Source organism: Homo sapiens, chromosome 12 (assembly GCF_000001405.40).
Source record: "Homo sapiens chromosome 12, GRCh38.p14 Primary Assembly".
NCBI lineage: Eukaryota > Metazoa > Chordata > Mammalia > Primates > Hominidae > Homo > Homo sapiens.
The window spans coordinates 59,735,385-59,754,555 of record NC_000012.12 but is presented as its reverse complement, the minus strand read 5'-3'; the positions used below and the strand labels follow the sequence as shown (position 1 = coordinate 59,754,555).

Here is a 19,171-nt window from a genome sequence, read left to right as displayed (position 1 = left end):
TGGTTTAGTCTTGGGAGGGTGTACGTGTCGAGGAATTTATCCATTTCTTCTAGATTTTCTAGTTTATTTGCGTAGAGGTGTTTGTAGTATTCTCTGATGGTAGTTTGTATTTCTGTGGGATTGGTGGTGATATCCCCTTTATCATTTTTTATTGCGTCTATTTGATTCTTCTCTCTTTTCTTCTTTATTAGTCTTGCTAGCAGTCTATCAATTTTGTTGATCCTTTCAAAAAACCGGCTCCTGGATTCATTAATTTTTTGAAGGGTTTTTTTGGTCTCTATTTCCTTCAGTTCTGCTCTGATTTTAGTTATTTCTTGCCTTCTCCTAGCTTTTGAATGTATTTGCTCTTGCTTTTCTAGTTCTTTTAATTGATATGTTAGGGTGTCAATTTTTGATCTTTCCTGCTTTCTCTTGTGGGCATTTAGTGCTATAAATTTCCCTCTACACACTGCTTTGAATGTGTCCCAGAGATTCTGGTATGTTGCGTCTTTGTTCTCATTGGTTTCAAAGGACATCTTTATTTCTGCCTTCATTTCGTTATGTGCCCAGTAGTCATTCAGGAGCAGGTTGTTCAGTTTCCATGTAGTTGAGTGGTTTTGAGTGAGTTTCTTAATCCTGAGTTCTAGTTTGATTGCACTGTGTTCTGAGAGACAGGTTGTTATAATTTCTGATCTTTTACATTTGCTGAGGAGAGCTTTACTTCCAAGTATGTGGTCAATTTTGGAATAGGTGTGGTGTGGTGCTGAAAAAAATGTATATTCTGTTGATTTGGGGTGGAGAGTTCTGCAGATGTCTATCAGGTCTGCTTGTTGCAGAGCTGAGTTCAATTCCTGGGTATCCTTGTTAACTTTCTGTCTCGTTGATCTGTCTAATGTTGACAGTGGGGTGTTAAAGTCTCCCATTATTAATGTGTGGGAGTCTAAGTCTCTTTGTATGTCACTCAGGACTTGCTTTATGAATCTGGGTGCTCCTGTATTGGGTGCATATATATTTAGGATAGTTAGCTCTTCTTGTTGAATTGATCCCTTTACCATTATGTAATGGTCTTCTTTGTCTCTTTTGATCTTTGTTGGTTTAAAGTCTGTTTTATCAGAGTCTAGGAATGCAACCCCTGCCTTTTTTTGTTTTCCATTGGCTTGGTAGATCTTCTTCCATCCTTTTATTTTGAGCCTATGTGTGTCTCTGCACATGAAATGGGTTTCCTGAATACAGCACACTGATGGGTCTTGACTCTTTATCCAATTTGCCAGTCTGTGTCTTTTAATTGGAGCATTTAGTCCATTTACATTTAAAGTTAATACTGTTATGTGTGAATTTGATCCTGTCATTATGATGTTAGCTGGTTATTTTGCTCGTTAGTTGATGCAGTTTCTTCCTAGCCTCGATGGACTTTACAATTTGGCATGATTTTGCAGTGGCTGGTACTGGTTGTTCCTTTCCAGGTTTAGTGCTTCCTTCAGGAGGTCTTTTAGGGCAGGCCTTGTGGTGACAAAATCTCTCAGCATTTGCTTGTCTGTAGAGTATTTTATTTCTCTTTCACTTATGAAGCTCAGTTTGGCTGGATATGAAATTCTGGGTTGAAAATTCTTTTCTTTAAGAATGTTGAATATTGGCCTCCACTCTCTTCTGGCTTGTAGAGTTTCTGCCGAGAGATCCGCTGTTAGTCTGATGGGCTTCCCTTTGTGGGTAACCCGATCTTTCTCTCTGGCTGCCCTTAACATTTTTTCCTTCATTTCAACTTTGGTGAATCTGACAATTATGTGTCTTGGAGTTGCTCTTCTCGAGGAATATCTTTGTGGCGTTCTCTGTATTTCCTGAACCTGAATGTTGGCCTGCCTTGCTAGATTGGGGAAGTTCTCCTGGATAATATCCTGCAGAGTGTTTTCCAACTTGGTTCCATTCTCTCTGTCACTTTCAGGTACACCAATGAGACATAGATTTGGTCTTTTCACATAGTCCCATATTTCTTGGAGGCTTTGCTCCTTTCTTTTTATTCTTTTTTCTCTAAACTTCCCTTCTTGCTTCATTTCATTCATTTCATCTTCCATCACGGATACCCTTTCTTCCAGTTGATCACATCCGCTCCTGAGGTTTCTGCATTTTTCACGTAGTTCTCGAGCCTTGGCTTTCAGCTCCATCAGCTCCTTTAAGCACTTCTCTGTATTGGTTATTCTAGTTATACATTCGTCTAAATTTTTTTCAAAGTTTTCAACTTCTTTGCCTTTGGTTTGAATTTCCTCCTGTAGCTCAGAGTGGTTTGATCGTCTGAATCCTTCTTCTCTCAACTCGTCAAAGTCATTCTCCGTCCAGCTTTGTTCCATTGCTGGTGAGGAGCTGCGTTCCTTTGGAGGAGGAGAGGTGCTCTGCTTTTTAGAGTTTCCAGTTTTTCTGCTGTTTTTTCCCCATCTTTATGGTTTTATCTACTTTTGGTCTTTGATGATGGTGATGTACAGATGGGTTTTTGGTGTGGATGTCCTTTCTGTTTGTTAGTTTTCCTTCTAACAGACAGGACCCTCAGCTGCAGGTCTGTTGGAGTTTGCTAGAGGTCCACTCCAGACCCTGTTTGCCTGGGTACCAGCACTGGTGGCTGCAGATCAGCGGATTTTCGTGAACCGCTAATGCTGCTGTCTGATCGTTCCTCTGGAAGTTTTGTCTAAGAGGAGTACCCGGCCGTGTGAGGTGTCAGTCTGCCCCAACTGCGGGGTGCCTCCCAGTTAGGCTGCTCGGGGGTCAGGGGTCAGGGACCCACTTGAGGAGGCAGTCTGCCCAATCTCAGATCTCCAGCTGCATGCTGGGAGAACCACTGCTCTCTTCAAAGCTGTCAGACAGGGACATTTAAGTCTGCAGAGGTTACTGCTGTCTTTTTTGTTTGTCTGTGCCCTGCTCCCAGAGGTGGAGCCTACAGAGGCAGGCAGGCTTCCTTGAGCTGTGGTGGGCTCCACCCAGTTGGAGCTTCCTGGCTGCTTTGTTTACCTAAGCAAGCCTGGGCAATGGCGGGCGCACCTCCCCCAGCCTCGCTGCCGCCTTGCAGTTTGATCTCAGACTGCCGTGCTAGCAATCAGCAAGGCTCCATGGTCGTAAGACCCTACGAGCCAGGTGCAGGATATAATCTCCTGGTGCACCGTTTTTTAAGCTCATCGGAAAAGCGCAGTATTGGGGTGGGAGTGACCCGATTTTCCAGGTGCCTCTGTCACACCTTTCTTTGACTAGGAAAGGGAACTCCCTGACCCCTTGCGCTTCCCGAGTGAGGCAATGCCTCGCCCTGCTTCGGCTCGCACACGGTGCGCTGCACCCACTGTCCTGAGCCCACTGTCTGGCACTCCCTAGTGAGATGAACCCAGTACCTCAGATGGAAATGCAGAAATCACCCGTCTTCTGCGTCGCTCACGATGGGAGCTGTAGACCGGAGCTGTTCCTATTTGGCTCCAGCAAATCTTGGCTCCAGCGATCCAGGTATTTCTTCTAATGCTGTCCCTCCCCTAGCCCCCCGCCCCCCGACAGGCCTCAGTGTGTGATGTTCCCCTCCCTGTGTCCATGTTTTCTTATTGTTCAACTCCCACTTGTGAGTGAGAACATGTGGTGTTTGGTTTTCTGTTCCTGTGTTAGTTTGCTGAGATTGATGGTTTCCAGCTTCATCCATGTCCCTGCAAAGGACATGAACTCATCCTTTTTTTATGGCTACATAGTATTCCATGGTGTATATGCGCCACATTTTCTTTATCCAGTCTATCATTGATGGGCATTTGGGTTGGTTGCAAGTCTTTGCTATTGTGAACAGTGCTACAGTAAACATACAAGTGCATGTGTCTTTAGAGTAGAATGATTTATAATCCTTTGGGTATATACCCAGTAATGGGATTGCTGGGTCAAATTGTATTTCTAGTTCTAGATCCTTGAGGAATCGCCATACCATCTTCCACAACAGTTGAACTAATTTACACTTCCACCAACAGTGTAAAAGTGTTCCTATTTCTCCACATCCTCTCCAGCATCTGTTGTTTCCTGACTTTTTAATGATCGTCATTCTAACTGGCATGAGATGGTATCTCATTGTGGTTTTGATTTGCATTTCTCTAATGACCAGTGATAATGAGCTTTTTTTCATGTTTCTTGGCTGCATAAATGTCTTCTTTTGAGAAGTGTCTGTTCATATCCTTTGCTCACTTTTTGATGGGGTTGTTTTTTTCTTGTAAATTTGTTTACATTCTTTGTAGATTCTGGATACTAGCCCTTTGTCGGATGGATAGATTGCAAAATCTTTCTCCCATTCTGTAGGTGGCCTGTTCACTCTGATGATAGTTTCTTTTGCTGTGCAGAAGCTCTTTAGTTTAATTAGATCTCATTTGTCAATTTTGACTTTTGTTTCCATTGCTTTTGGTGTTTTAGTCATGAAGTCTTTGCCTATGCCTATGTCTTGAATGGTACTGTCCAGGTTTTCTCCTAGGGTTTTTATGGTTTAAAGTCTTATATTTAAGTCTTTAATGCACCTTGAGTTAATTTTTGTATAAGGTGTAAAGAAGAGGTCCAGTTTCAGTTTTCTGTATATGGCTTGCCAGTTTTCCCCACACCATTTGTTAAATAGGGAATGCTTTCCCCATTGCCCTGCTTCTTCTATGTGTTCTTCCTCAATGTCTGGCGCTGGTTTGGAAACTTTCATCTCCATCAAGTCAGCTTCTACTAATTACTCTGGTGTGATTTTTATTATCTCTTGAATTTCTCCAAGATCCATATCTTGAAGTCCTTTACATTCCAACCTTTTCTGCCACATCCACAATCTCTTTCATGATTTCTTTGATTGGCTCTATCATAAATCTTGTGAAGTCTTGCAAAACATCTTCTCTCTAGCAGAAATTTATTGCTTCAAGCTTGGCGACTTTCATGGCTTTTTCTATAACAATAACGACATCTTCAAGGGTGTAATTCTTCCAAACATCCATGATACTCTCTATATAGAGGTTCTCTTCCACAGCGTTGACCATTTTTTCCATAGAGTACCATGTGTAATGAGCCTTAAAGGTGCTATGACCTCACCTCCTGATCTAGAGGCTGAATGAGATATTTTGTGTATGGGGGCAAGTAGACCACTTCGACACCTTTGGCACTGAATTCGTGGGGTTTTGGGTGGTCAAGGTCATTATCCAATATCAAAAAAACTGCCAGTATGGCAGCCCTTACTGGCAAGGTACTTCCTGAATTGAGGCACAAAGCATCAATGAAACCAATACAGAAAAAGGGTTCTCATTGTCCAGGCCTTCTTGTTGTACAGCAAAAAGACTGGCAGCTGGTGTTGATCTTGTCCCTTCAAAACTCAGGAGTTATCGCCTTTGTAGATAAGGGCAGTCCTAATCATAAATTGCATTTGCTCAAAACAGTACAGTTAGCCTGTCCCTTCCTACCTTAAATTCTCAATGCTAATTTCTCTTCCTTACTAATAAATTTCCTTTGTGGCATTTTTTTCCCCAAACTAGTGTACTTTTGTCTGCATTAAAAACCTGTTCAGGCAGATGTCATTTCTTCTCAATGATTTTTTCAGTGATGTCTTGGAAGTCATCTGCTGCTTTTTGGTCAGTAGAAGCTGCTTCTCCTGTTATCGTGACATTTTTTAAAGCCAAATCTCTACTTAAAATTATCAAACCACAGTTTGCTGGTATTAAATACTCTGGATTTAGATATTTCATTTAGCTTTTACTTTAAGTTGTCATTTGCTTGTTCTCAAATCATATTAAAGTGCATATCTATAGGTAAGTCTTATAGCAATCCCGAACCTACATAAAAGCTGCATTTTCAATACAAGATAAAAAGGTAGTTTGCAAAAAGTGTAAGGTTTTCACACCTGTTGGCAGAGTCTGCAACAAAAATTTCATAAATTTCCTTTTATTTTCTTACAGTAGTATTTTTGCTGTATTCAATTATCTTGAAATGGTAGGCAGCTACAGTAGCCGACTTCAGTCTATGGTACATATCAAGCAATTCAACTTTGTATGGGTCCCGTGGTGTTATTCAAGGTTTATGGTATTGCACGAAACATGATACAAAATATGCAAGAACTCTGAGAGCCCATTTTTTATTGTGATAATTTACTAGAGGAAAGAACCGCTCACATAGAGATAAGTGTCACACATGTTTTAGGCATGACACAACACTTTAGCCCAGCACAGTAGCAACAGGAGATGGCTACAAAATTATTACAGTAGTACAGTATGTATTACAGTTAATTTCAGGCAGCTTGATTTTATACCGTGTCCTTATGTTTGTTTACATTTTTCTGCACTGTGGATGGTGGCCTGTAGCGTCTGTAAGGGTTCCTGTGCATAAGTTCTGATAAAATTTAACTTTTTATAATAGATTTGTAGCTAAAATCCTATCCTATCTAGCTAAAATTTTGTATCCTTTGACCCACGCCTCTCCACTTCTACCAATCCCTCGATTAACCCTTGCGATTCTCCTGCCTCAGCCTTCCGAGTAGCTGGGATTACAGGCACCCACCACCATGCCCAGCTAATTTTTGTATTTTTAGTAGAGATGGGGTTTCACCATATTGGCCAGGCTGGTCTCAAACTCCTGACCTCAGGTGATCTGCCCTCCTCGGCCTCCCAAAGTATTGGAATTACAGGTGTGTGCCACAGCGCGTGGCCTATGATTCTGTTTTTATGATTAATGGTATCTAGACTACTTCACAGATTGTTGTAGGATCCGTGTTGGAGGATCAAGTGAAGTAATATATGGGAAAGAGTTTTGCAATTATTAAACAAATAAGATCCACTTTTTCTTCTTACACTAAGGTTGCCTCTGCTTACACAGCTTCCGGTTATACAACCATACCCTACCCATTACCTAGTCTAGGGCTAGAGAGAAAGAACTGCTCAAATAATTGGTTAGAGTCTGCAAATGGATTCAACCTGTTTGACAGTATTGTTTGCTTTAAAAAGTGTGAGCTAGACAATTGCACCCTTTCACTTATGGTGCCTCCTATGTGCTCCTCTTCCTGGATTGTTTCCCTCCATTTGGCCTGAAAGAAGAAGTTAAGATCACAAGTTCTAGATATGTGGTGGGGATCAGGAAAAGAATGATACAATCAAATGTTTATTTATTAGAAAAGAGTTAAAAACAATTAATTAGAAAAATATTTTATAATTTTTTAATTTGAAACCCTTAATACATTATACTATTTTCTGTACAATATATTTTGAATTTTGCATTAAATAACAATTTCGTTGTTGTTTAGAGTTATTTATTGATTTTATTGAAATGTACAACATAATAACTTTATTATAATAGTCTAATAATTGTAAAACTTTCTGCTTAAATAGTAACTTAATTTTTAATGCCTTTCTTTCATATAACTATATCATTAGATGTATACACATATATGTATGCATGTCCAGTTCTTGGTAGTAAAATGTCATTTGTTTTAGAACACAATAGGCCAGGTGCACTGGCTCACACTTGTAATTCCAGCTCTTTGGGAGTCTGAGGCAGGAGGATCTCTTGAGCACAGGATTTAGAGACTAGCCTAGGCAATACGGTGAGACACTGTCACTACTAAAATAAAATAATTAGACAGGCATGGGGGTGCACACCTGTAGTCCCAGCTACCCGTTAGGCTGAGGCAGGAGGATTGCCTGAGCTCAAGAGTTTGAGACTGCAGCAAGCTATGATCGTCACTACACTCCAGCCTGCATGACAGAGTGAGATCCTGTCACAAAAGCAAAAACACATACATACAAACAACAGTAAAAAAACACACTATTGCCTTTCTGACTTTGAGGGGGTAGGGATCATATTGCAAGGACATCCTCATCCATAAATTTCTTAATTATGTTGCTGTTACTTTGTCAATATTCTTTGAAGGAAAAGATAAAATAATTTTCTGCTGGGTTCAGATGCATGAGAGGACAGCCTATTTGGAATGCTAACATAGCTTGAACCAAACTGGGGTACTATTAAAGATGTTCTTGAGGGAGTTAACATTAACTCAGAGTCTACTTTTGCTCAGCTCAACGTTAAATGTGAAGCCATCTTCTCATCTCACTTTCTAAGTTTTCTTTAGACTTTGACTACCTGGTGGGTACCAAATTAAAAATTGTAGATTAAAACTCTTTTCTGATTGTAGGACAAGACAAACAAGACCTTTCTAGCATTTTCAGGTGCTCATGTCACTGATGCCTCAAAATAAACTGAGTCATATATATTGTTTAATTCATGCCCTGAAATAAAATCTGCTTTGGCTCTTGTATTGCTGATTTCATTGGTAGACATCACTATCCATTCAATCAAGCCTGAAAGCCAGACATCATCTTAGATTACTCCTTGTGCTTCACATTTGACATCAAATTAATTACAAAGTACTGACAAGTCTGTTTTCTAAATATACTTCGAAGACAGTTATTTCTTTTCTCCTTGTTGCTGTTTCCTTACTTGAAGTTCATCCGACCTTTTACTGGACACAAAGAAGTAACCAAGAGTGATCTTTCAAAAAGCATATTATTGATTATGGTTCTCCTTTTTAAAACCCGTAATTGACTATTAGCTCCAGAATAAAGGCTAAATACTTTAAAATAAGACATGTCCCATTCATCATGTGACCTGTCTTCAACTTCACAATTTTTCACTTTATGTTTTCCATTCTTTCATGATTACCTTTGTGAATGTTGTTCATATTCTTATAAATATTGAGTACCCACTATGTTTTAAACATAGCTCTAGGCACTGATGATACAGAATGAACAAAAGATAATTAAACTTCCTAGTCTTCCAGTGCTTTCAGTGTAATTCTGACGAATATGCCTTTTTTGCAGACATAAGAAATGTCTATAAGAATTTCAAAATTAATCTTAAATATAACCTCTATGTACACCTTCTAAACCTTCCAGGAAGAATATCTGCTTTTTTATGTGTGCGTGTATCATAATTGCCACAGTTCTATATTATGGCATGTTACTTTGATTCTGATACTTCTGTCTCCTGAGGTAGAATGTGAATTATTTTTTGTCATTCATTGTGTGTTTGGTGACCAACCCATTGAATTTCTACTTCAGTGCCTATGTACAGAGTTTCTTCTATTATTTGTTGATTTAAATCTTAACTTGAAATTTTACTACTTTTGTATCAATTCATAGGGCAATTATCCATCATCCCCATTGTCATTATCATCATTGTAGTGGATACTATGCTTGATTCTCCAACATCCATTCCCAACCCAATAGGACTCTATGCCAGTGACAATGACCTCATTCTTTTGCTAATACTTTATGGGAATGGTTAGACCTAAACTCATTTGAGTGAATAAAATGCGAGAATAGACTTGGTTAGGGCTTTGAGGGTAAGGAAGACAAATTTTGTTTCTGTTTTCTTCAGATATGAAAAAGACAGCATATTGTCTGATTGCTCCTGGCACCCATTTTATAATCATAAAGAGAAGCAGTCTAAGGATGAAGGTGATGAGGGAGATGAGGGGAGGGGTGTAAATACCTGGTTTCTGATGACATCCTTGAACTCCAGAATCAACTAACCTTAGGGTCTACCCTACCTCTCAATTCAATGAGATGAGGCTCTCATAATGAAGCAGAAAAGTTTCCCTGACACCTTTGATGGGGGGATCTAGAGTACATGGGCACTGGATGTAGCCGGCCACTTCAGCACTGGCAGGGGCAAACTCCACTCACTGGGACCCATTACATTTCACCCCTCGCAAGAGGGAGTGCACAGATGAGTGGGTACAGGAGTTGGGGCAAGCGCTTTTGGGTGCTGGCCAGACCAATCTCCATCCAGGGCCCTGCAGCAGTGTCTAGGAGGTGCCTGCTATCGCCGAAGCCTCAGAGGGCATGTGTTACAGTCAGCACTCTTTTAGCTTTTGCCGTCCACAGACGGCTTAAGTATTTATAGCTCAGTGGGCCCTCTGCCTTTTTGCATGAGGTGGGTGCTCTCTGCCAGTGAGGGCAGAGGGTCAGTGTGATAGCCTTTAGCATCTGCACCTGTGGCACCCGAGCTCTTGTTTAGCATCCAGGAAAAATCAGGTTGCACGAATGAATTGAGGGTTGGTGAATATGGAGGATTTTGTTGCCAATGAAAGTGGCTTTCAGCAGGAAGGGGAGCTGCAAAGGGAATGGAACTGGAAGATAAGCTTCCCCCAGAGTCCAGCCTTCCCCGCTGGACTCCTCTTTGAAGCAACATTGTCAAGCCGTCACTCTGAAGTCAAGCTGCTTCTCTCTGACGTCCAACCATAATCTCTAATGTCCAGCTGCTTCTCCTCTTCTCTGCCAGCAGAGCCTAGGGTTTTTATGGGTATGGGATGGGGGTGCTGGGTGGGGGGTTATGGGTGGTTTTGGAAAAGGCAACATTCCAGTGGGAAAAAAGAAATGTATGTTCTCATTTTGGGCTGCTGTTCCAGGCTTGAGGGTGGGGCACTTGCCAGGGGACTCGCCCTCTTCTGCTCAGAATTTCCCTGCCTCCAGTCCCTATCAATAATCTTACGCAAGATAATATATGTGCATTTTGTTTAAACTGAATCTTTTTTTGTTTCTCATATAGAAAACATCCTAATAATAACTTTCAACAGTGAGTTTTAGTGAATTACAAGTACTCCACTAAGTGACTTTCATTCAGTATTTCATTTTCTCTCAGTAAGACTGTAAGTTAAATAGTTGAACTCATATTCTACAGATTTGGAAATGGAAGCTTGGAAAAGTTAAGTTCTTGTGACTGAACAAATTACAGAGCCAGGCTTTGAATCTAAGTCTTTTTCATTGCAAATCCTATGTGCTTAAGATTATTGTAAGTTCAGTATAAAAATTCCTCATTTTCAAAATTAGAAATTGATATGTAATTGGAAAATTTATGTATCAATTGTACACATTTAAATGTAATATTTGGATGTAGTAGCTTCTAAATATATTTAATTTGTTTAATAAAAATTTGTTAAAGTCTTAATTTACTTGAAAATTGATTTAGACAATTTTTACAACAATACAAGTGAAAAAATTTGTTCATTCCTTTACTCACCACATATTTACTGAGCATCTTTCAGGCTATGTGCAGGGATTATGATGAACAAGATAGTTATGATGCCTGCCTTTAAGGAGTTTATATTTTAAAGGATTTATATAAATGCTAAAAATGCAAAGCATGTCATGTAAGATTATGATGTTGTATCCTTTTCTCTAATTTAGAGATGGCAAATTATCAGAATGAATTTTAAATGCAAAGGCATTTAAATGATCTTTTGTCAATATAACTTTTACAAGTATTTTCTTAAGTCCAAAAATATTAATGTAGAAAAACGATGTTTTGATTTATAGGTAAATAATTTACAAAGTTTGCCTTTTGTTCTGACTCCTCAGTAATTACTCTAGCCTCTTTCTTTAGTGCCGGCATCCTAAATTTCTCTTTTTAAACAGTATGACTAATTATCAGTGAAACAGCATGATGAGTCCCTTGAGTAACTGATATTCATATGCATTTTCCCTCTGGTACCTCAAGCATTGCTTCTTCTGCAGCCTAGCATTATACATAATTAAGTTCTGAAAGAGTGGTTTCTTCTTTGTCAGAATAATTTCTGTGCACTGAGTCATCTACTTTTTTTGACAATTTACAGATGCATGCAATTTCTTGTGGGTGGGAAGATCCTTTCTTAAACTTCCAATAATGTAGCTCTAGTAATAAAACCAAACTAAAACATGAAATTATGAAGAAAATTAACTGTGCATGGATTTATACAGAGAGGAAAAACATGCTGAAGGAAAGAGAATCTTCAAAATATATTGACTGATAAAGATATTGATAAAGATGTAGCCCAAGAATATCATTAATTCCCCATCCTTACTTTCAGCAGAGCCTAAAATATCTCTAGAGAAATTCATTTTGATAAGTGTTTCTCTTCTTTGGGTTTATCTTTTAGATCAGGACCATTATCTACAGATGCCTGATTGTTTCAAACCTCTCTATACATTTTCAACAGCTTTCATTAGGATATTTTTCCTTGCCTTTAATTTCTCTTTAAACTGCAGAACACTTGATTTTCCCATCTCCACTGTGATTTCTCACTTTCCTCCTAGGTTGACATTTAGGGACACTGTGGAGTGTTACAGGTTGTTAGGCATGAACAGGGCAAGAGTGGGCTTTTCTCCCACATCCACTAGGAATATTAGGTGGTGGTTTGACAATTATCACACTGCCTCTTTAAAAATGATAATTCAGCAGCCCCACCTAGGCCACCAGGGAGAGACAATTTCCTGATGATCCAGAGCTGTTAACATTAAAGTGTTAATAGAATGCAAGTGCCAGGGAGAAGCAAGTTCCTGGACATGAGCATTAAGAGACAAAATGTTGGAATATGACTTTCCAGGGGCACTCTACCAGAAAAGGGAAGAAAGCCTCAGATGCACATGTGTGCAACTTCCTAAACAGACTGCTCATGCTCACTTCCCAAGAGCAAGGAGGGCACTGTGCATGTGAGCAGCCCACCCTAAGGGAAGAATCATGGGAAAGGGCTGCAAGATGCCAGCCTATAAAGTCCTAGGATCACAGTTAAACACCCCAAATCACCCGCTAGGATCTCTTTTAAGTGTTCTTTCCTGCTGTAAAACTTTTTAATAAACGTCCACTCCTGCTCTGAAACTTGCCTCAGTCTCTTTCTGCCTTATGCCCCTCAGTCAAATTATTTCTTCTAGGGAGGCAGGAATTGAGGTTGCTGCAGACCCAGATGGATTCACCACCAGTAACTCAGATAACTTCTACCATAACAGGAGGACTGGCAGGCAACAAAGTGAACATTGAACACACACTCCTTTCCTCTCTGTCCTAAAATAAGCTGTAAATCAACTAACCAATAGCACAAAGTTCTTGCTTTTAACTACTGGCTGGCTTCAGAGATTCCCGTGAATTTTCTTCAGATTCAAATTGATGTTTCCTTGCTTCTTGAAAGAACTCTAAAATTCAGTGAAAAGAATGGTGGTAACTGAAAACGGTGACTGTATTAGCATGCTATCCCTACGATAACTTGCTTTTCATTTCCTTCTGAAAGAAAGGAGCAGAACCCGTCACTGTATCTCTGGATTTTTTGCCCTATTTTTAATGAGCATCTACAAGAAACCCTAGGAAGCCTGTTATTCCTAAGACTAACCAGCACTAAGAGCAAAGAAGGGGAAATTTCTGGCATCTGTCCAGGACAGCTGTGAAAAGTTTGTTCCTCCTGACACCACATTTACAAACACACTGGGTAAGGTTTCTCAAAGTGCTCCAAGGTATAAAGGGCACTTTGATACCAACTGCATAAGAATCTTTGAGGATAGGCTTAGGATTGACTTGGCGATGCGGGCTCTTTTTGGGTTCCATATGAACTTTAAAGTAGTTTTTTCCAATTCTGTGAAGAAAGTCATCGGTAGCTTGATGGGGATGGCATTGAATCTATAAATTACCTTGGGCAGTATGGCCATTTTCATGATATTGATTCTTCCTAACCATGAGCATGGAATGTTCTTCCATTTCTTTGTATCCTCTTTTATTTCATTGAGCAGTGGTTTGTAGTTCTCCTTGAAGAGGTCCTTCACGTCCCTTGTAAATTGGATTCCTAGGTATTTTATTTTCTTTGAAGCAATTGTGAAAGGGAGTTCACACATGATTTGGCTCTCTGTTTGTCTGTTATTGGTGTATAAGAATGCTTGTGATTTTTGTACATTGATTTTGTATCCTGAGACTTTGCTGAAGTTGCTTATCAGCTTAAGGAGATTTTGGGCTGAGACATTGGGGTTTTCTAGATATACAGTCATGTCATCTGCAAACAGGGACAATTTGATTTCCTCTTTTCCTAACTGAATACCCTTTATTTCCTTCTCCTGCCTGATTGCCCTGGCCAGAACTTCCAACACTATGTTGAATAGGAGTGGTGAGAGAGGGCATCCCTGTCTTGTGCCAGTTTTCAAAGAGAATGCTTCCAGTTTTTGCCCATTCAGTATGATATTGGCTGTGGGTTTGTCATAGATAGCTCTTATTATTTTGAGATACGTCCCATCAATACCTAATTTATTGAGAGTTTTTAGCATGAAGCATTGTTGAATTTTGTCAAAGGCCTTTTCTGCATCTGCTACCTGACTTCAAACTATACTACAAGGCTACAGTCACCAAAACAGCATGGTACTGGTACCAAAACAGAGATATAGATCAATGGAACAGAACAGAGCCCTCAGAAATAACGCCGCATATCTACAACTATCTGATCTTGGACAAACCTGACAAAAACAAGCAATGGGGAAAGGATTCCCTATTTAATAAATGGTGCTGGGAAAACTGGCTAGCCATATGTAGAAAGCTGAAACTGGATCCCTTCCTTACACCTTATACAAAAATTAATTCAAGATGGATTAAAGACTTAAACGTTAGACCTAAAACCATAAAAAGCCTAGAAGAAAACCTAGGCATTACCATTCAGGACATAGGCATGGGCAAGGACTTCATGTCTAAAACACCAAAAGCAATGGCAACAAAAGCCAAAATTGACAAATGGGATCTAATTAAACTAAAGAGCTTCTGCACAGCAAAAGAAACTACCATCAGAGTGAACAGGCAACCTACAAAATGGGAGAAAATTTTCCCAACCTACTCATCTGACAAAGGGCTAATATCCAGAATCTACAATGAACTCAAACAAATATACAAGAGAAAAACAAACAACCCCATCAAAAAGTGGGTGAAGGACATGAACAGACAATTCTCAAAAGAAGACATTTATGCAGCCAAAAAACACATGAAAAAATGCTCACCATCACTGGTCATCAGAGAAATGCAAATCTAAACCACAATGAGATACCATCTCACACCAGTTAGAATGGCAATCATTAAAAAGTCAGGAAACAACAGGTGCTGGAGAGGATGTGGAGAAATAGAAACACTTCTACACTGTTGGTGGGACTGTAAACTAGTTCAACCATTGTGGAAGACAGTGTGGCGATTCCTCAGGGATCTAGAACTAGAAATACCATTTGACCCAGCCATCCCATTACTGGGTATATACCCAAAGGACTATAAATCATGCTGCTATAAAGACACATGCACACGTATATTTATTGCGGCACTATTCACAATAGCAAAGACTTGGAACCAACCGAAATGTCCAACAATGATAGACTGGATTCAGAAAATGTGGCACATATACACCATAGAATACTATGCAGCCATAAAAAATGATGAGTTCATGTCCTTTGTAGGGACATGGATGAAATTGGAAATCATCATTCTCAGTAAACTATCTCAAGAACAAAAAACCAAACACCGCATATTCTCACTCATAGGTGGGAATTGAACAATGAGAACATATGGACACAGGAAGGGGAACATCACACTCTGGGGACTGTTGTGGGGTGGGGGGAGGGGGGAGGGATAGCTTTAGGAGATATACCTAATGCTAAATGACGAGTTAATGGGTGTAGCACACCAGCATGGCACAGGTATACACATGTAACTAAACCTGCACATTGTGCACATGTACCCTAAAACTTAAAGTATAATAATAATAAAATAAATAAATAAATAAATAAATAAATGAAAAAAAAATTTACACCCAGCTCCATAGTGAAATAGTTTGCATCCTAATATATAATATTCCATGCACAAATTGATTTGGAGAACTGTAAGTTCTCCATAGATAAATGGGTAAGTGATATAAATTTAAAAATAGCAATAGTTTATAAACATGAAGACCTTAATAAAAATGTAAACTAAAAAAAAAAAAATCTTTGAGGATAGAAAACAAAAATCTGCTCTTAATAAGGATCAGTATCCTCAAGAGATTCTTTTGTACCTAAGTGTTAAATTTCCTGAGAGCTAATCTGTGTGCTCATAGTCTTTCACCTATGAGCAGTCATTAGCATTTTCTTTCTCTGAGGCAAAGCTCATCTGTGGGTCAATACTATTCCCTGCCATAAACCCTTGTTAAGATAAAGAGTCAAAATTAGTGACAAGCAAAATGTTGAAATGCCAGCAAAGGGTAGGATGAATGAAAAATACTTTATATTTTGGAAACAAGGACAGAGACTTGGTCTATGTCAGAATAGACAGGCCTTCTCCCATAACCAGTTGCAGAAAATAAAAACTCTCTTCCTCCCCAGTTCATCTGCATCTTGTTATTGGTCCATGAGAAATAGCAGCCCAGCCCTCAGTTTGATATGGAAACAAGTTTAGATTTGTACTTGTATTTCACAATCATTCACACATACGCTTTGAAGAATTATGTTTTTGTTAGGAGGTATTCTATCTTGGAAATCTTATAGTATAGTTGCATATTTTATGGATAAAATAATTCCTTGGCAGAAAGATTTCATTCTTGTGATGGTGTGACATAGACTGCTAAAGCAATTCTCCAAATCAAAACTGAAACCACCCAAATCCAATGTGGTATACGTGCTGGGCAAAATAGTTTAGACCAGACATCTGCTGTGGAGTTGATGTGAATACATTTTTTATAAGTACAATATCTCTGTGATAAAGCACCATGAGAATGCATAGCCTAGAGATCTTTAAGGATATAATTTAATATAAATCTTATAAACAACCAAATAATGAAATAAAACAGGAGAATGGATCATTATCTCATACTGTATAGGCAAAGCAGTATCAGTCTCTGCAATCCACAAGCTCTTTGTGTGGTGTACTCTAGTTTAGACCAGTGACCTACAGGCGCAAGCTGATATGCTAAACCATTGGAGAAGAAAGGAACTATTCCATTTGTTGGGTTGGTATAAGAGTTGACAGGATAAAAACAGGACCATACCCCAAGTATCAGTTAATTTAACTGTGCTTCTAGGGCCAGGAACACTGGTTCAGAGCTAGGGAAAATTGTGTAACAGGGACAGGCTAGAGTCAGGACAATCTAAAGACAGGGAGTCCAAGTCATCCCCCCAAAAGTCCAGTCTTTTCAAATAAAAGCAATGGTATTAAACATTAGAAAATCTAGAAAAAGTCCTATCAATTTACCCAGTTACTCAGGAAGTCAGCTCCCTTTTTATTGCAGTCAAAGCAGTTAAGGAGCATAAACATTTTGTTAGTAATCAAATGCCTAAGAGGACATAGTTTAAAGTAAAATTATTTAATGATGTTTCAAGAGGAAAGAGGTTTTAGAGATTGGACTGACTATTTTAAAAGGTCCATTACTAAGCAAAAATCACTCCTTAGAATTCTAATAAACTGGTCTGAAATTCCTCTTTCTCAACAATGCAATCAACCCAAACACTGGCATTTTTAACTTATTATAAATCTTCAATTTTAATTCATCAATGATTTCATAAGATAATGAGTAGCCTCTTTATTATTATTATCTAGGCTTTTAGGTGTGTGCCAAAATTCTCTCAAAGAAGATAACCTCATGGAGAGGATTAGGTGAGTTGTATGTCCTGTTTGATGCTGACCCTAAATGTCCTTTGTACCTCATTTGCAGATCCCTTCCCCATCTGCAACTGTGCCTCACAGCACAAGCACAGATGTTATCTGAGTCTTGAGAGCCGGTGTCTGTGACTCACCATTGAAAAGCTGTGGAACAACATGCAATCTCCAATATGCATATTGGAAGTCAGTCAGAGAAGACCTCAGGGCTTGCTTAGGATAAGCAAACAGAGGAATTGTTCAGTGAAATGGAGGCTGAGGGTGTAGAGAACAGATGACAGGAAATATCTTGGAAAAGCAGTTTCAGAGGGCTCAGTGGGAGGGATTGGAAGGCATGCTAATGCAAGACTAGAAATCATTGGAGAATCATTGGTCAGCATGTGGAGGAAGTTATGCATAAGGAGGACAGATGATCAGGACTTGTTTAGTAACAAAGGCTAGAAAGAGATGAAGAACTAAATAATTAAGATGAGGTCTTAATTTCTAGGCAGAATTAGGCAGTGAGTTCCAACGAGGCTGGTCATCTGTGGTCAAGTTATTTTGATAGGGTCCTAAAGTGGCATCTGCCCAGTCTGTTGTTTAGAAGGAATGATTTAACTGCAGTGGTGGGAAATACAGCATCTGCAGCAGCTGATAGTGGGGAAAGTCACCAAGTGTAGCCTCCTGAACCAATCCAGCCTTGGAGTGATGCCTGACCAAAGTGAAAATTAGCTCAAGACAAGAACTCACCCTACAATGGACCTTAGTGGCTGCTGGAGTTAGTAATTTGGATATGGTGCTTAAAATTAGTTTTAGAAAAACTTTGTTTTTGTTTGTTTTTTGTGTTCATTTAAAGCATTTCACTCAAGCCCTCCCTATTTTCTATTATTTCATATTTATGAAATCTCTTCTCTCAGATAAACCATTTGATTTAACACCCACTCTCTAGCAATTTTTATTATTTTGCCTCCATTGTGCTTTGTGTGCATGTTGTTTCTGCTAATATTTTGCTCTTTCTTTAAGATCCAGCTCAAACTCAGCCATGTCCATGATGCTTCTGTCCCTGGAGCCTTGCTCTCATATTTCCAACCTCTGATACCTTTTATTCTCAGATATGGGAATAAATCTCTCACAGTTGTATGGTGTCTCACCAACTATATCCCTGAGTTCTTATTAAAACCATACATTAAAATAATGTTTCTACCAAAATCTTGTTACCTCAAGTAGATGGTGATCTCTTTAAAGGGTGAATGATGCATTCCGCTTCTCCTTTTTTCCTATCAAAGTCATAGAGAATTTATATCTGTTAGGGGCCATTTGAAAGGTTAGTTTTATTCTAATGTTGGTATGTTTTTAAATATATGGCAATCTTCATAACATAAAATTTATAATATATTACTTATTCTGCAAAATTTCATGATAAATATATATTAATAAAGTGTTCAAAAAACCCCAGTGGAAATTGCATATTAAATTTATGTTTTAATATAATGCAAAAGCAGCAGGGCTACAGTTTTTCATTTAAAAATACCCCACAGTTACCTATGATAAGGCACAGTGAAGTGCATGATATATTGTTACACAGAACTGGTAGACTTCTGACCTGATTCCACTTTAGGACTGGGTTTATTTTCCTTTTGAAATAGTCATATTTTCTCATCTGACATCAAGAAATAAAACCTACCACAAACAGAACTCTTATTCGCCATGAACTGATGTAAAGCAGCTTACTACTAATGGCTGCAATGCATCATAAATTCAAAATAAATTAGTGGCCATTAAGCCACAGGCTCCCCATCATTTGTATTACAAATGATGCTGA

The 19,171-nt window shown here is 39.0% G+C and overlaps 1 protein-coding gene across 13 annotated transcripts in view; it reads right to left on the bottom strand.

The window, feature by feature from the left end:
- SLC16A7 (solute carrier family 16 member 7) overlaps nt 1-19,171 on the bottom strand; it is a 193,813-nt gene that overhangs the window by 35,286 nt on the left and 139,356 nt on the right. For 3 of the 13 annotated variants that reach the window (NR_073056.2, XM_017020226.3, XM_011538995.3), the window contains one exon: nt 18,568-18,626. The exons of the other annotated variants lie outside the window; for them this stretch is intronic. The gene's annotated coding sequence lies outside the window, so the exon portion shown is untranslated. The remainder of the gene's footprint in view (nt 1-18,567; nt 18,627-19,171) is intronic. 13 annotated transcript variants of the gene reach the window in all.